Source organism: Homo sapiens, chromosome 4, assembly GCF_000001405.40.
Source record: "Homo sapiens chromosome 4, GRCh38.p14 Primary Assembly".
Taxonomy (NCBI): domain Eukaryota; kingdom Metazoa; phylum Chordata; class Mammalia; order Primates; family Hominidae; genus Homo; species Homo sapiens.
Genome location: NC_000004.12, coordinates 186,979,048 through 186,997,474, shown reverse-complemented (window position 1 = coordinate 186,997,474; position 18,427 = coordinate 186,979,048). Strand labels below are relative to the sequence as shown.

The following is an 18,427-nucleotide window of genomic DNA, read 5'->3' as shown; positions in this document are numbered from 1 at the left end:
AAAGGCATGAGCCACCACGCCCAGCCAGGAGAAGTATTTTAATTGCCTTTTCAGATAACTGTGGATATGGTTCTTTACTACTACACCAAAACTTGACAATTCACAGTTTTTAAAAGACAGCTGCGATGTGGGATATGAAGCCATATCCATGATTCTTTGTGCTCCGTTCTATTAAAATCCGCTGCTCTAGCATACGGCTGGCTCAGGTCTTCTTTACTGGGGCATGATTTCTGCAATATCATACATGGTCATGTGGAAAATATTGGTTTACTGAAGTATATAGATCTTCCAAACATTGACAGATTTCATTCATCAATACAGACAAAATCACGTTTTGATGTTACTACTGACCTTATAAGAAAATATTGGTTTACTGAAATATATAGATCTTCCAAACATGGACACATTTCATTCATCAATACAGACAAAATCACGTTTTGATATTACTACTGATCTTATAAGAAACATCTGTATTAGGAAGCAGTCAGTTTCACAGAGGCAGACACAAGTTTTCCAAAATTCTAATTTTCGCTGGCAACACACATTATTAGTGATTTTACTTCAGGTGAAAAGCTCACTTCATTTTCAAGGAAATGTCTACAAAATAAGCAAGTCTGAATAACCATAGTTGGTCTGAATAAGATAGTTTGTCCTCAAACAGTTGGTTGGAGACTTTTCCTTAGGTCATCCACTGTATTCAGTAAGCAGAAGTGCTTTATTTACACTTCTCGTTTCTTCTAGATGTGTACTCCGAGACCAAAATTAATACAATTAATGATTCTTATTGTTTCATCAAGAATATTCTTCAGCAAAGCTAGCAGATTGCTTTGTTCTGTTTGTTTTGTTTTGTTTTATTTGAACGCACATGTATAGCAATAAAGAATACAGTAACCAGCACTGCAGCTTGGTGCCACTACCGTGATCTGTGCTAAGGCACCAGCAGTTTTATGCATCATTGCTTTTGTGCCATTGCTATAAAATGAGTGAAAAGGGTAAATAATGTTGGTATCACCCTAAGCCTTGTTTTGAGTTGCAGATCCCCTGAAAGCTACTCAGAAACCTTCAAAGGACCATCAGAACGCACTTTGAGAACCACTGTGATGGATAAGCCTTCAGAGGCGTTTCCCTGCGATTCCCACTGCACTCTAATCCACTGGCTTTCCGCACAAGGGCAGCTCCAACAAGGAACCCAACCAGAGTTGAGGGAAATTCAAGTTTGGTAAGTGTTGTCTCCCTCAAACCCTCAAGGCCACAATCTCAAGGATCTACTGCCTTCTAGGCTTTTCCACTCAATCTCAGAGGTGTTTAGGGAGAATTGATTTCAAAGAGTTTAAATCCAGGAATGGGGTGGGAAGACAGAGGATGAGAAACAGAATCCGGAATGGGATATGCGGCAGGGATGGAGATGTTGAAATTAGGAGTTCCTAAGCAAAGCTTTGTATGTATTATCTCACATACTTGATAAAGCAAAAACCAATCAATCAGTCAAATTACTTCCATGGTTACTTCCCATTCTGCTATTCTCTAATTAGAATGGAAACATTTACTGTCGTCCAGTCAACATACAACTACCTTTTTAGTCACAAAAATCCATTACTCGTTAAAATTTGAGTAGTGCCGAAGAGACAGTTGAATATGGAAAAGTCATTTTGCATCCTTGCAGTCAAGCATAGCACATATTACAGCTATCTTTAGAAGACGTAGGAGCTCTGAGGAAATTTGTTCGTATCACATTTAGGAACAATTAATCCCTAAAAGACAATGTGATACTTGAAACATTGCCAGTACAATCTTTCCAGAGACTGTCATTAAATCTTTACTATATATGGAGGGGAAAAACTGCCTTGTGTGGAATTTACCTTTATTCTATTGAAATACTGAGAATTCCTATTTGATCCAGTCTGAAGCCCTGTTATACTCCAGCAGATCTTTGGGATGACTTCCATGCCAAATCCATCCACTATACAGTATTTCAGTTATTTTTGCTACATTGCACACTGGAAAAACGTGTGCAGAATCTTGGGTGAACTGTGTAATAGGATTTGTAACATTTGTGATGTGGATGACATTTTAAAGTGGCTTTACAGACAAAGCATCCTAGGGAACTACTGTGAAGCCAAATAATGAGAAAGACACACAAGTCTATAATCAATAAATGTGATGTAAAATTACATTGAAGAATGCAAAATTAAAATAATAATGTGCTAAACTGTTTCTTAATTGTATATGGAAAACATTACAATCAGTAAATTAGAATATTTTTGTAGGCAATTGTAAGTCGAAGTCTTGAGATTTCAGGGTTATGCTTCTGGATATTAAACATCCTCTTGCAATCTAAACAGCAACTTATTAAAGAACTTAAGAGAAAAAGTTCCTTAATAGATGATGTTAAGTAACGTTTCACTTTTTCCCCTCAGAATTCCTTATGTTTTGCTGACACAGGTGCAGAGAAAGCTGATCTTACTGATTTTTTTTTTAGTTTCCAACCACTCTATTTACATTTTAAAAAGTGAGGAAAAGTTATCAATTTTTCACCAATTCAAATGAAAATTCGTTTTTCTTAAAGTAATTATCCATTGCAGAAGAAACACAGTCTGATACTAGAATTATTCATTTTCTCATTTCTTCATTTCTATTTTCAAATGCAAATGAGGCCTACGTCTTTTTTTCTATCTTACAATGTAAGATTTCATTTGAGAATGAAAACTATTTATAGAACCTCCTATATATTCAGCATATTAAATATATATATTTAACATAGAAAGCATATGAAACATATTAAGCACAGTGTTTTTATATTTTACACTACTGTTCCAATTTTAAGTTAGGTGCAAACTATCTTGAATCTTTTGACATTGTGGCTCTTTGTGATCTCTCTATCAAATTAAATCTTTATCCTAACAGAATAGTTCTTCTACTCTTCTCTAAAGATCTCACACTGAAATTGATTCAACAAAATCTATCACAAGTTTGTAGATGCTTGATCACAATAGTCTCTAGAATATTCTTCCAAAGAAGACCTACAGATATTTCCCCAATGACTCATTTTCCCAAGAAGGTAAAATCTATCTTACTGACTCCCTGCAAATATAATTTGCAGAAAAGAACCTCTACTGATTTAACCATTATGTTACTAAAATAACTGAGTTAGCAGTTAAATAAATAGAAATCCCTTTAGCAAGGAATATTAATGGTTTTTATTATATTTCCTGACTCTGGATAGCTCAGTGCAGTTGATGAAACACTATTTCCCTTAGTACATCAGTGCTTCCATGGTCATATCTTGTCACAAGAAGGAAATACAGAAGGATATGATTGCCCATCTCTGTTCCTCCATGCTATCAAAATCTAACACACGAGATCATTTTAACATCAACCGATACAATATCCCACTAAATCAGCAACTTCAACCTAATAATTTTGAAATGAAATGTGACCTAATCTCAAACAAGTTCTGCTTTATTGAGATCCTTTCATCCTATCATCAATATACGATCCAAAGGGCTTCCTTTAAAGATCATGAATTAAAGTTGCATTATTCCCACCCTGAGGCACACTAAAGTGAACTCCCAAAAATGAATGAATGATATATGGTCCAAGCTCAAAACCATTCAGTGCAGTTCCAAAGCTGTGAGTCCTAATTCATGAAGAGACATTAAGTGAAATGATATAAATACCATGAGATAATATTCTGGAGGGCATCAACAGAATAACTTATTAATTCAATATAATTAAATTGGAATATCATGTAATAAATAAAAATTAAAATATGAGCTCAAGAAAATTAAAAGAGAAGGAAAGATGAGGGTCACAACAAATGATTGTTGAACAATTGTTACCAAAACACCAAGGGTTCAGTCTCAGTCCTGCACTCACTGCAAAGAAAGCCAGTCACTGAGACGATGAGTCTTGCCAAGGGAGAAGGCTTTAATTGGGTGCTGCAGCTGAGGAGATGCTGCAGTCTCAAATCCATCTTCCTGACTGATTAAAACCAGGGGATTATATAGCAGCCAAGAAATGTAAGAATGAATAAGAAAACAGGAACTCGGGAGGAGCAAGGAAGCGATCCTGGTGAATGAGGGGTCCGGCAACCGGTGTGGTGATCTGGGTTCAGTTCTTTGATGCTTTTTGTGAGAGGCCTGAAGGTAGTTTCCTGAGGAAGGAACTCAGATAAAACAAACATAAGTTTCAAACTTTAACAGCAGAAGGTTCCATTCCTGTGTTTATCCAAAAGCAAGTGTCTATAGGACTTTTGGGTTGCTTTCACAAGGAATAGGTTACATGGGACATCTCTCCACGTTGAAAATCGGGAGGATGTGCTTTCCATCGTAGTGATGCCCTCAGAGCAACATGGACAACATCACATCACTGAATTTTTTTTTGGAAAGGATGAAATAACAGAGGACAGATCTTCTATGCAGGAAAAATAGAATTTATAAGAAATTATAAAAAAATTAAAAGAATAGGATTTATTTTTAAAAATGGACTAATACATGAATTTAGCAAGGCCACAAGATATGTGGTCAATATTTAAAAATCTATTATATTTTTATATGCTATTAATGAAAATTGGAAATAGCATACAAAGTATAAATTACATATGGTTAAACAAAATATGTACAATACCTGTACACTGAAAACTACAAAACTTGCTGAGAGAAATTAAAGAAAACCTAGATAAATGGAAAGATATACCATGTTCACTAGTCAGAAAACCTCAATATTGTTAAGGTAAGTAGGTGAACTACAGTTACAACGCACTTGCAATACATTCCCAGCAGGTTCTTTAAAAAATAGTAATAATAATAATAATAAATGTTTCATACACTTGAATTTTATTTTATTTATTTATTTATAACTTTTATTTTAGGTTCAGGGGTATATGTTCAGGTTTGTTATATAGGTAAACTCATATCATGAAGGTTTGTTGTACAGATTATTTCATCACCCAGGTACTAAGCCCAGTACCCAATAGTTGTTTTTTCTGATCCTTTCCCTCCTCCCAATTCTGACCCTCAGGTAAGTCCCAGTGTGTGTTGTACCCCTCTTGGTGTACAGGTGTTCTTACTATTTAGCTCCCATTTATAAGTGAGAACATGCAGTATTTGGTTTTCTGTTCCTGCATTAGTTTGCTAAGGATAATGGCCTCCAGCTCCAGCCATGTTCCTGCAAAGAACACGATCTTGTTCTTTTTTATGACTGCATAGTATTCCACGGGGTATATGTACCACATTTTCTTCATCCAATCTACCATAGATGGGCATTTACACCAATTCCATGTCTTTGTTATTGTGAATGGTGCTGCAATGGACATCTGCATGCATGTGTCTTTGTGACAGAATAATGTATATTCGTTTGGGTGCATACCCAGTAATGGGATTGCTGGGTTGAATGGCAGTTCTATTTTTAGCTCTTTGAGAAATTGTCACACTGCTTCCACAATGGTTGAACTAATTTACACTCCCCTTAACAATGCATAAGTGTTCCCTTTTCTCCACAACCTTGGCAGCGTCTGTTATTGAAGTCTCCAAAAGCAATTGCAACAAAACAAAAAATTGAAAAATGGGATCTCATCAAATTAAAGAGCTTCTGCACAGCAAAAGAAACTATCAGTAGAGTAAACAGACATAAAGAATGGGAGAAAATATTTGCAAACTATGCATCTGTCAAAGGTCTTGTATCCAGAATCTATAAGGAACTTAAATAAATTTACAAGAATAAAAACAAACAATCTCATTAAAGAGTGGGCAAAGGACATGAACAGACACTTTTCAAAAGAAGAAATACATGCAGCTACAGGCATATGAAAAAAAGCTCAATATCTTTGATCATTAGAGAAATGCAAATCAAAACCACAATAAGATACCACCATCTCACACCACCCAGAATGACTATTGTATCACTTAATTTTTATCTGCCAAAAAATTTAAACAAACAGAAGTCATTTTATTTAGTTAAGCTCATGTTTATTCTCTGTGGATTTTTAAAATGTATTACATAATTTAAACAAGGTCTGTCCTGGTACTCTTGCCTCTCATTCACACTGTACATTTGCCATTCACTATTACCTCTCATTGTTACACATTTTTGGAAGAAGAGTCTGTTAATTATGTTCTAAATTCTAATGCCAATGTTCTTAGAATAATAGGAGTAATTATTAAACAGTATCTTTTAGGAGAAACTATTAAACAGTATCTTTTAGGAATGTATTATTTTATTAGCATTTGTGGCTTTTTTTATTTGTTTGTTTGAGACAGAGTCTCACTCTGTCACTCAGGCTGACAGCCCTATCTAGGCTCACTGCAACATCCACCTCCTGGGTTCAAACGATTCTTGTGCCTCAGCCTCCTGAGTAGCTAGGATTACAAGCATGCACCACCACACCCGGCTAATTTTTGTATTTTTAGTAGAGATGGGGTTTCACCACGTTGGTCAGGCTGGTCTCAAACTCCTGACCTCAGGTGATCTGCCCACCTAGGCCTCCTTAAGTGCTGGGATTACAAGCAAAAGCCACCTCGCCCAGCCATCTGTGGCTATTTTAAAGTATGTACAAAGCACAATATGCTCCTATATTCAAAATTTGGCAAATACCATGTGTATATTTTTAATACTATCTTAAAGGCACCAATTGGTGTTAAAGTGACCTAACTTTCAGTATCCTTGCATTTTAGGTTCCAATTTTAATGCAAATCTATTTTGTTTTCAGATTGTCAAGGCTACTTTTTGTATGAGAGACAATGAATACATATATATATATTTCATCACTAATAAGAATAGAATGAGGAGAAAAGTAAAAATATTGAAAAACAGAGGCAAAATTTATTATTTTCAGACACTATTTCATTATTTTTCTAGATACTTAAGAAAACAAATTTTTATAAAATGGCACAAGAGTTCAAAGTGGCTAGATTCAATATCATCATATAAAAATAAATAATTTTCTAACCATCTACTAACCATCTAACCATCAATTAGAATGAAATAGAGAAAAAAAAAACTCAAAATAGCAGCAAAAAAACACAAAATGAGAAATAATCCTAATGAGAAGAGTAGAAGTTCTATTTAAAAAGGCTATAAATGTTGTTTCATACATTTTTTAAAAAGTGAAAAATAGAAATGGGTAACAATATTTTGGTTGAGAAACTTCAATATTACAGGAAATTCAATTCTCCCAATTTAATTTGTAAGTTCTGTGCAATCTTTAACTTCATAAAGAATTTTTATCAGCAGCTTGACAGATTATTCTCAGGTTCATCTATAAGAGAAAAACAAATAAATATAATGGAAAAAAATGTTGAAAATAAGCGCAGTGAGTGAAGACATATACCTACCACATATCCACATAAATCTCTAAGAATTAAACAATAGATACATAGCCCTATGTAGAGAGACCAAAAATAAATCCAAGTGTATATGCTGATTTAAATTATAATAAAGATGGCAAATATGTAGGAAAAAGTCTAGACCAACTGAATAAAGTATAATTAGGTGAATAACTGTTAATATGGGAAAAAAGTAACAAATATCCCTAATTCATACCATACTCAGAAAAAAAGTCAAGGTGTTTTAAAAGTTCAATGTTATACTGAAAAACTAACAGTATAAGAAGAAAAAGGTCAGAAATACATATATTTATACTACTGAAATGGAGAAGGGCTTCTAAAATAACAACCAAAACATATAAATCATATAAAGGACATGATCTTGTTCTTTGACCACTAAAAACTAATAAATTGTTCAATAAAAGATTGTCCATTGACAGATGAATGGATAAAGAAAATGTGGTGTATAATACAATTGAATATTACTCAACCTTCGAAAACAACAAAATCTTGCTATGTGTGAAAACATGGATGTACCCAAAAGACATAATGTTAAATAAAATAAGCCAGTTACAGAAGGACAAATATTGCATGATTCTACTTATATGAGGGATGTGAAATACTCAAAATTATAGAATCAAAGAATACAATAGTCATTCCCAGAAACTCAGGAGTAGGGGAAATGTGGAGTTGTTGTTCAATTGGTGTAAAGTTTTAGTTATGCTAGTTGAATACATTCTAGAGATCTATCTTACAACATATTGCCTATAGTTAGCAATATGATGTGGTGCATTCCAAAATTTGTTAAGAGGTCTCACATTAAGTGTTCTTACTACAACAATGAGGGGAAAGGACACAAGAAAACATTAGAAGGTGTTGGTGTCTGATATGGTTTGGCTGTGTCCCCACCCAAATCTCATCTCAAATTCCTATGTGTTGTGGGAGAGACCCAGTGGAAGGTAATTGAAACATGAGGGCAGGTCTTTCCCAAGCTGTTCTCAGCGTAATGAATAAGTCTCACAAGTGCTGATGGTTTTATAAGGGGGAGTTTCCCTGCACAAGCTCTTTCTTTGCCTCTCGCCATCCACATAAGATGTGACTTACTCTTCCTTGCCTTCTGCTATGATTGTGAGGCCTCCCCAGCCCTGTGTAACTATAAGTCCGTTAAACCTCTGTCTTTTGTAAATTGACCAGTCTCAGGTATGTCTTTATCAGCCGCGTGAAAACAGACTAATGCAGTAAACTGGTACCAGTAGAGTGGGGTGCTACTGCAACGATAGACAACAATGTGGAAGCGACTTTGCAACTGGGTAACAGGCAGATGTTAGAACACCTTGGAGGGCTCAGAAGAAGACAGGAAACTGTGAGACAGTTTGGAACTCCCTAGAGACTTGTTGAATGGCTTTGACTAGAAGGCTGATAATGATACAGACAATGAAATCCAGGCTGAGGTGGTCTCAGATGGAGATGAGGAACTTGTTGGGAACTGGAGCAAAGGTAACTCTTGTTATATTTTAGCAAAGAGACTGGCAGCAATTTGCCCCTGCCCTAGAGATTTGTGGAACTTTGAACTTGAGAGAGATGATTTAGGGTATCTGGTAGAAGAAATTTCCAAGCAGCAAAGCATTTAAGAGGTGACTTGTGTGCTGTTATAAGCATTCAGTTTTAAAAGGGGAAAGGGGCATAAAAGTTTGGAAAATTTGCAGCCTGACAATGCAATAGAAAAGAAAATCCCATTTTCTGAGGAGAAATTCAAGCTGGCTGCAGAAATTTACATAAGTAACTAGGAACCTAATGTTAATTCCCAAGACCATGGGGAAAATGTCTTCCGGGCATGTTAGAGACCTTTGAAGCAGCCCCTCCCATCACAGGACCAGAGGTTTAGGAGGAAAAAAATGGTTTCATGGGCCAGGGCCGGGGTCCCTCTGCTGTGTGCAGTCTATGGACTTGGTGCCCTGCATTCCAGCCACTCCAGCTGTGACTAAAAAGAGCCAAGGTACAGCCCAAGCTGTTGCTTCAGAGGATGTAAACCCCAAGCCTTGGCAGCTTCCATGTGGTGTTGAGCCTGCAAGTTCACAGAAGTCGAGGATTGAGGTTTGGGAACCTCTGTCTAGATTTCAGAAAATGTATGGAAATGCCTGAATGTCCAGGCAGAAGTTTGCTGCAGGGGTGGGGTCCTCATGGAGAACCTCTGCTAGGGCAGTGAAGAAGGGAAATGTGGGGTTGAAGCCCCCACAGAGTCCCTACTGGAGTACTGCCTAATGGAGCTGTGAAAAAAGGGCCACTGTTCAGCCAGGTGCAGTGGCTCACACCTGTAATCACAGCACTTTGGAAGGCCAAGGCAGGCAGATCACCTGTGGTCAGAAGTTCGAGACCAACCTGCCCAACATGGCAAAACCCTGTATCTACTAAAAATACAAAAAATTAGCCAAGCATGGTGGCAGGCACCTGTAATCCCAGCTACTCAGGAAGCTGAGGCAGGAGAATCTCTTGAACCCAGGAGGCAGAGGTTGCAGTGAGCCAAAATCACACTACTGTACTCCAGCCTGGATGACAAGAGTGAAACTCCATGTCAAAAAAAATGAAAGGAAAGGAAAGGAAGGGAAAGGAAGGGAAGGGAAGGGAGAGGGAGAGAGAGAGAGAGAGAGAGAGAGAGAGAGAGAGAGAGAGAGAGAAGGAGAGAGAGAAGAAAAGGAAAGGAAAGGAAAAGAAAAGAAAAGAAAAGAAAAGAAAAGAAAAGAAAAGAAAAGAAAAGAAAAGAAAAGAAAAGAAACAAGGGCCACTGTTCTCCAGACCCAAGAATGGTAGATCCACCAACAGCTTGCACTGTGCCCCTGGAAAAGCCACAGACAATACCAGCCTGTGAAAGCAGTCAGGAGAGGGGCTATATCCAGCAAAACCACAGGGGTGGAGCTGCCCAAGGCCAGGGAATGCACCTCTTGCATCAGCGTGACCTGAATGTGAGACATGGGTCAAAGGAGCTCATTTTGGATCTTTAGGATTTGACTGCCCCACTGGATTTCGGACTTGTATGGGGCCTGTAGCTCCTTTGTTTTGGCCAATGTTTCCCATTTGGAATGGCTGTATTTACCCAATGCCTGTACCCACATTGTATCTAGGAAGTAACTAACTTGCTTTTGATGTTACAGGCTCATAGACAGAAGGGACTTGCCTTGTCTCAAATGAGACTTTGGACTGTGGACTTTTGAGTTAATGCTGAAATGAGTTATGACTTTGGGGAACTGTTGGGAAGGAATGATTGGCTTTGAAATGTGAGGACATGAGATTTGGGAGGAGCTTGGGTGGAATTACATGGTTTGGCTATGTCCCCACCCAAATCTCATCTTGGATTCCTACGTGTTCTGGGAGGGACCCAGAGGGAGGTAACTGAATCATGGGGGCATGTCTTTCCCATGCTGTTCTTGTGGTAGTGAATAAGTCTCAGGAGATCTGATGGTTTTATAAGGGGGAGTTTCCCTACATAAGCTCTCCCTCTTTGCCTGCCACCATCTATGTAAGATGTGACTTGCTCCTCCTTGCCTTCCACCATGATTGTGAGGCATCCCCAGCCCTGTGGAACTGTAAGTCCATTAAACCTCTTTCTTTTGTAAATTGCCCAGACTCGGGTATGTCTTTATCAGCAGTGTGAAAATGAACTAATACAGTGTCTATTTCTTTGATTATGCTGATAATATCACAGGTGTTTTCATATGCCCAAATTTATCAAATTGTATACATTAAACATGCATAGTTGATCCAGGTGCACTGGCTCACACCTGTAATCCCATAGTGTTGGGAGTCTGAGACAGGAGTATTGCTTGAGGCCAGGAGTTCAAGACCAGCCTGGCAACACAGGAAGAACCCATCTGTACAAAAAATTTAAAAATGACCTGGGTGACATAGTGTGCACATGTATTCCTAGCTACCCGAGCTGCCAAGGCAGGGGATCACTTGAGCTCAGGAGTTCAAGTACAGTGCAGTTCTTCATATATCAATTACATCTCAATAAAGCTCTTAAAAAATTAGTTACATTTGAAAGAATACCATTCAAAAATGTTAATCATAAACAACAGATCAGCAGAAATTCTTTGGAATGCACATAACGACAAATAATAAACATCAAAAGGTTAAAGCTTCTGCAATCATTAAGAAAAAATGAATGAAAAAAGGTAATGTACAAGGAAAGGCAATTCATAGGAAAAGTACACGACTATAAACACATTAAAATATTTAACTTTGTTAGTAATCATAAATGCAAATTAGAACAATGAGATATAGCTAGGATTTTTACCCTTTAACTTGACAAAACTTGAAGATTTATAATATCTGCTGATATTGAGAATTACAAAACAAGAACTCTTACAATTGCAGCTGGCTCACATGTAATTTGGTACATCAACTTTTAAAGTTAATTCGAGATTATCTCTCAAAATCAAAATTGTGTCATCCCTTCAACTCAATCATTCCTCTTATAGGAATTTATCTTACAAAAATACCTGCATGGGTGGCCAGATAAGGTCTGGGCAAGACTGAGATGGTCAATGATTCATTCTTTATGATTATAAAAAATTGGAAACAACCTAATTTGTCCATTTGCAATGAGAAGATTTAATAAATTATTGGTATTTCCACACAGTGCAATACTAGTCAGTCACTGAATGTCCCAATATAGGAAGATCTCTAAGATTTACTATGTTCAAAACAAAGTTATATATATAACACGGGGCACTGAGTAAAATGTATTTGTATATGCATCTGTGTATGTGTGTGTATTAATTTTTCCACCAACATTTACTTCAGGCAATATGAGGAAAAGTAGGACCACAACAGTATATAGAACAAGCATATCCTGCACTCCGCCTTCTTATGCTTACAATGCAGAAGGCAAGAATGTAAGGCAGACAGTGGAAAGAAGCAAAGCAAACAAACAGAATTACAACAGAGTTCTTTTTCTTCTTTCTTTTTTTAGAGATGGGGTCTCACTGTGTTTCCCAGGCTGGTCTCAAACTCCTGGCCTCAAGTGAGCCTCCTGCCTCAGCCTCCCAAAGTGCTGGGATTATAGGTGCAAGCCGCCCTGGCCAGTCATGATCCTGCATAGTTTTAGTAAGGATGCAAACAGCATACTCTGGTTTAAAATACCGTGGAGTAAGGTCAGGCAGACTTCCTCCCGTTGGGTGGACAAGGCCTCTCTGAGGAATCTACCCCTAAATGGAACAATCACCAAAAGGCCGCTGAGTTACTCAAAGACTTAGGAGCCAGGGAGGAGGAGGGAGGCAACAGCAGGAGCGGAGGTGAAACAGGACGAGGGAGGAAAAGCCACAGAGTTCATAGGCACGTCTGTTGGGCCAAGGATATTGAGTGAAGAACTCTTCCATTTAACTTTACAAAATTCCTTACCGTTTGAAGTATGTATCAAGAGCGTGCATTCATGCATTATGTTATCAAAATATTCATAATTCATAATTGCCATAATACAATAAAAGTTAAGACTGGAGGGAAAAATAGAACTCAGACTCACAGGGCTCAAGATGCTAGCCTGGGAACTAAAATGTGGTCTTACGGGTTTATCTCAACTTCCAGTTGTGAAAAGAAACAGTGATTTTATTATAACTTCAGGGCCAGTCCATAAAGTGAAAGAAAGTTTAAGGAGGTCAAGGAATAAAAGAATGGCTACTCCCTAAGCAGGGCAGCCCTGAGGACTGCTGGCTACGCATTTTTATGGCGATTTCTTGATGATATGCTAAATGAGGGGTGGATTATTCATGAGTTTTCCGGGAAAGGGCTGGGCAATTGCCCCAGAACAGAGGGCTCCTGCCCTTTTTAGACCGGTTTTTAGACCACATAGGGTAGCTTCCTGACGTTGGTTGCCATGGCATTTGTAAACTGCCATGGCACTGGCAGGAGTGTCTCTTAGCATGCTAATGCCTTATAATCAGCGTATAATGAGCAGTGAAGAGGACCAGATGTCACTCTTTCACCATCTTGGTTTTGGTGGGTATTGGCTGGCTTCTTTACTGTAACCTGTTTTATCAGCAAGGTCTTTATGACCTGTATTTTATGCTGACCTATGTCTCATCTTGTGACTAAGAACGCCTTAACTCCTGGGAATGCAGCCCACTAGGTCTCAGCATCATTTTACCCAGCCCCTATTCAAGATGGAGTCGCTCTGGTCCAAATGCCTCTGACACTCTCCTCGTAGAGGTGAGAACAGAGTCTCAATGGGATAAAGTAGCTTGTCCAAGGGCATATCGCTGGCTGTGGACAAGTCAGGAATTCAACCCAGATGTGTCGAATCAATACTGGATTGCATTTCTCATATACAAGATAGGTTTCTATTGCAAATGTAACTTGTGTCACAGAGGATCATTGTGGAGAACTCGATATTTCGGTCTGGAAAGGACAGATGTGTGGTTTTATACAACCTACAAAACATGCATCAAAGGTTCTGAGCATACAATCCCAAATTCTGAGAACGATGCCATCAGGAGACTCAACCACCCTCTTGCAGAGTATGCCCCCTCAGGAAAGAGATTTTTCACCCCAAAATACGGCTCCCTGGGATAATGAATATTTTTAATTAAAACCCTTAGAAAACAACAGGCCTTGGAAGACACTTTTCCCTAGCTTCATGAAGACCAGAGGGACCCACCAGAAGAAGAATTGCTTTTTCCTTGTTATCTCATTTTCTCTTTCAAGAATATTTCCTTTTCCCCTGTTATCTCATGATCTATTTCAGGAAAGGAGCGGAAGAATGTAACCAGATCTCACCCAATCTTTTTACAAGATAATGCCCATCTCTCAGATTCACTGAACTTCCAAAGACAACCATTTACAAATCAGTCTCTGCCTCTTCCCCTCTGCCGTTCCTTCTCTCAAGTACCCACTCATGTTTCCTTGGTCGTCATTTAATGCCCCTCAACAGAATTACCTATATTCTCTCTCTCCCCTTCCTCTGAAAGGAGTTTATGTAAGTGTGTGGGCCCCATTGGGAAATTAGGGAATCACTCTGTGATTCTCCCCAAGCACATGGTGAATGAATTTGTATGCCTTTCCTCTTCTTAATTTGCCTTACTGCGAGTTGATGTTTTTTTTCAACAAACCCTCCAAAGGCAAGGGGTGAGCTTCTCCTTTGCCCCTGCACCCTCCTCCCCACCCTACCTGATGACCTTGTCAGAAGCTGACTGCCAAGCTAGGGGAAAGGCTCTTAGAACACTATTATGCTTTATTTGTCCTCCATCCAAATCTGTGACCAGGTGCTGGGCAGGCAAAGAGGACGGAATCAGTGCTGTCGCCTTCAGGGCCCCTGATGTGATGGAAGCAGAAAGAGGAGCACGATGGAGGGAGGAGGCTCACATGATGGGCAAGGGAAACGTGGTGGCACCGAAACACGTGTGCTTTGGAAAACAACACTCAAGGTGAAATCCATCTGTTCTTTGTTGAATGGCCTCACAGTGGTCTGTGGTATTTTCACAAGGCTTGTGTATATGACACAAACCCACAGCACGGGTGATGGGGCCATTGCAGAAATGGGGTCAGTCGTAGGGTCTGGCCCAGAAGCTGAAACAGGGACAGCATTTCTCCTATTGCCCCTTTCCCAACTCTACCAAGCTGTTAAGAAGATAGTTGGCTGGTACAGAAACTTCACACGGAAACATTCTCTGTTTAGGCCACATGTTCACGCACTCATTCATTTTTCATCCAATAAAGAGATGTTGTCAACTATATGGCAGAAATGGCACCAGTACTCGGAACAAAGGACAGGTGTAGTACACGCCCTCACACAGTTTATGCATGGCCTAGGAAGGGAGGCAGGAAATCAGACAGGCAGCAATACGTGTGTGCAAAACATAATGACGAGGAAGTAAATGGTGGTTTATAGGATGGGAACCTAGAGCAGACGAATGTAACTCAGGGTTTTTTTATGGGGGTGGGGATGGGGAAGAGTTGAGGTGAAGAGGAGAAAAATATTTCAGACAAAACAGTAAACACAGAAGCCTAGAAGCTAGAAAAATAATGGCATAGTCAGAGCTAATAACAATATTGTTATATAATACCTTAAAAATATCTCTAGATCCGTGGGAATAATCACTCAATTGAACTTTGTAGGCAATATAGAAAAGTTACAGTCCTTACTGCTAATAAATATGTTATATTTATATAATACTGTCATATTCCTACTTTGAAAGACTATGTCATCCTAGGGTAGCCAGAGGAGGGAACTTTGCTCTAGTTTCAGACAGACTGTGCCACGTCTAGGGATGCCAGCTATATATATATATAGCTGTATATATACGTATATATACATATATATGCTGTATATACACATATATAGCTATATATACATATATATGCTATATATACACATATATGTATATATAGCTATATATACATATATATGCTATATATACATATATATGTATATATAGCTATATATATATATACACACACATATATGCCATATATATGCTATATATATATACTATATACATGCCATATATATGCTATATATATATATATAGCTATATATACATATATATGCCATATATATGCTATATATATTTCTGTTAAAACCAATTATAGGCTTAACGTCTGCCCAGGGTAACCCCAGATTCCAGTCAACTAGATTCACACCAAACTCTTTTGAAAAGATTGCAGCCAAGACCCCCAGATCAGTCAACAATGAGCAAAATCCACATAATAAATATTTATGGAAAGTCTATTCTACACGAGGATTGGTCCTTTCCAAGGATTTGCAGAGGACAATCACAAACCAGATGCAGAATCTTGGAACTGAGTCAAAACTAACAAGAGTTTTGAAGAGTCAAGAACTAAGACTGAGCTGACTAGAATTTTACCCTGCCTTCTCCTCTGGGTGGGTATCTTCAGGATGAAATGTTCCAAATATAATTCATTTACTTCCATGCTCCTGTTAGGCAACTGATCAACAAATAATGAAAGATTTACTATGTGCCACGTACATATGTGCTGGAAGAGGGGAACAAGAAGAAGAAGGTAGACCTAACTCCCCTGTCTGAAACTTACAAACTAGAGAAACAGACAATAAAGAAATTACACTTGTTATCAGTGCAATGAACGAAGACTGCAGGAACATATATCCGCAGGAAATAATCTGCTCATTGGGGAAAAGAAAGAATCCTGGTTTTAATCAAGTAAACCAGATTCCCCCAAAACGTTTAATAGTATCAACACAAATAATGATTATGCCACAGTTAGTTCACCGTCTGTATATAATTCTCAGAAATTGACTGTTTCCAATTTTCCTATAAATTTCATCGTTTTGCATAAAAATGCTCTAGGGTGAGAACGTTTTTTCCTTTTCTTTTAGGCTGTCTTCTTTAAGACTGCAAGTCAAAATTCCTAGGATGCCATTTTGACCACCCAGTTCTGAAAGTTTCTCTCCTTGACTGATTAGAGTTCAGATCTGACACTAAAAATCTTCCAGACCATCTGTCTTCCTCAGTTCTCCAAAAAGGATTTTAGACCAAATTTTTGGTTTTCATTGTTTTCCAACTCTTAACATTCGTGAATTTGCCTTACACATGAATAATGCAAAACTTCCAAAGCATCCCCTCTGGTGAGAATGCTTGTAACCCTCCAACACAAACAGGATTAATCCCGGAAGACAATTACAACAGTCAAGTTATTACTCACAACACCATGTGAACTCGGTGAAATGGGGTCTTGGAAACTAACAGAAGTAAATCATAATTAACCAAACGGAAGGGAAAATGCCGCGAGGAAGTGAAACTAAAGGCACAAGTCATTTGCCAAACACACTAAACTGCATAAATTTTGATGCAAAGTTATTAGTGTAAGGTGAGCACAGGATTCTAAATTGTTTACTCTAATTGCACATTTTAAAAAATACGGCCTGGATGCCCCATCACTACGGGATAGTTAAAAATTCATCTGGATGAATTGCCTAAGACAGGGTAGAAGAGCAAGTTAACGTGCATGTTTATTTCTTTTTCCTGCAAGAGTCCCTCACTCAGAGCCAAATCTCAACACATCCATCAGAGTTATATACACACACTTCAGAGCTATATACACGTAATGCACGAAGGTCTTTGACATCCTTTCATTATTCCATTTATTCCGTTCAATTATTCCATCAACCAGTTATTTTCATAATTTTTTCTTAATTATTTTGCTTTCCCCATTCTTACATCACCCCTTTTAAAAAACATGTATTCCAGAGATATGGGAATAAATTGGAAAGTATTTGGAACGTAATAAGTACCCAGTTTTGTCTACCTCTCATTGCTTTAAACTTTAATTTCATTACTAGATTCAGGCAGACACTGATGCCCACATCTTTGAATGTGGAGCAATTCAGCAAAGAAGTAGGGTTAGAGGAGAATTGCATTCTAGAGGCAGTGAGGATGCTTTCTCATTCCAGGGCAGTTGACCAGAGGTGCTGACTGGGTCCACGGCAGCTGCATTCTTCAGGACCTGCACTGGCCGTCATCATTCCAGGACACAAGAAAGACCCCGCCAGACTGTCCCCGATGGAAGTTTGGCTGTGGTCACCATGCATTGCCTCCTATAGAGCCTGCCTATTTTCCATGTCTGATTCTTCAGCTCTTCTGGCAATTCTGTAAATTACCCAAAATCCTTTCAATAAAATCTATTTATGATTAAACCAGCCAAAGTTGGTTTCTATTGCTAGCTACCAAGTACCCTGAGTAAAAGAGGAAAATTTAGTAAACTCTCACACCATTAGTGTGGTATTTCCTAGATGATGCTGAATGGTGCCCTAAATTTAAAACGTACTTAAATTTCTCAGAAACCAAGTGTAAGAAGTAAAATACAGCTGGACTCACCGTACTGCATAGATCAGTCCCATTCTAATACCAGATTTCAAGTTGTCACAGAAATTCCACTTAATAACCCTGGAAAAATCCTTGACCTTAAACACTAATAAAAGAGAGCCCTTTTGAGATATTACATGCCTGGATTGAGCTGGGTTGAGTTTGAAACTTACTGGAATCAGGTATAATTCAGTCCAGATTCACGGGATCTTCCACAAGTAAACCAACACCAAAGGAAAACTTAGGTCTTGAATACTCTTGATTAATTTCTCA

General features: G+C 38.3%; 2 long non-coding RNA genes across 7 annotated transcripts in view; one reads left to right on the top strand and one right to left on the bottom strand.

The window, feature by feature from the left end:
* LOC102723906 (uncharacterized) overlaps window positions 1–18,427 on the bottom strand; it is a 220,555-nt gene that overhangs the window by 63,742 nt on the left and 138,386 nt on the right. The gene's annotated exons all lie outside the window — the stretch shown is intronic.
* Window positions 1,037–17,985, top strand: LOC124900876 (uncharacterized). Its single transcript, XR_007058505.1, has 2 exons — window positions 1,037–1,219; window positions 17,743–17,985. It is a non-coding gene; the product is annotated as an uncharacterized LOC124900876 (long non-coding RNA).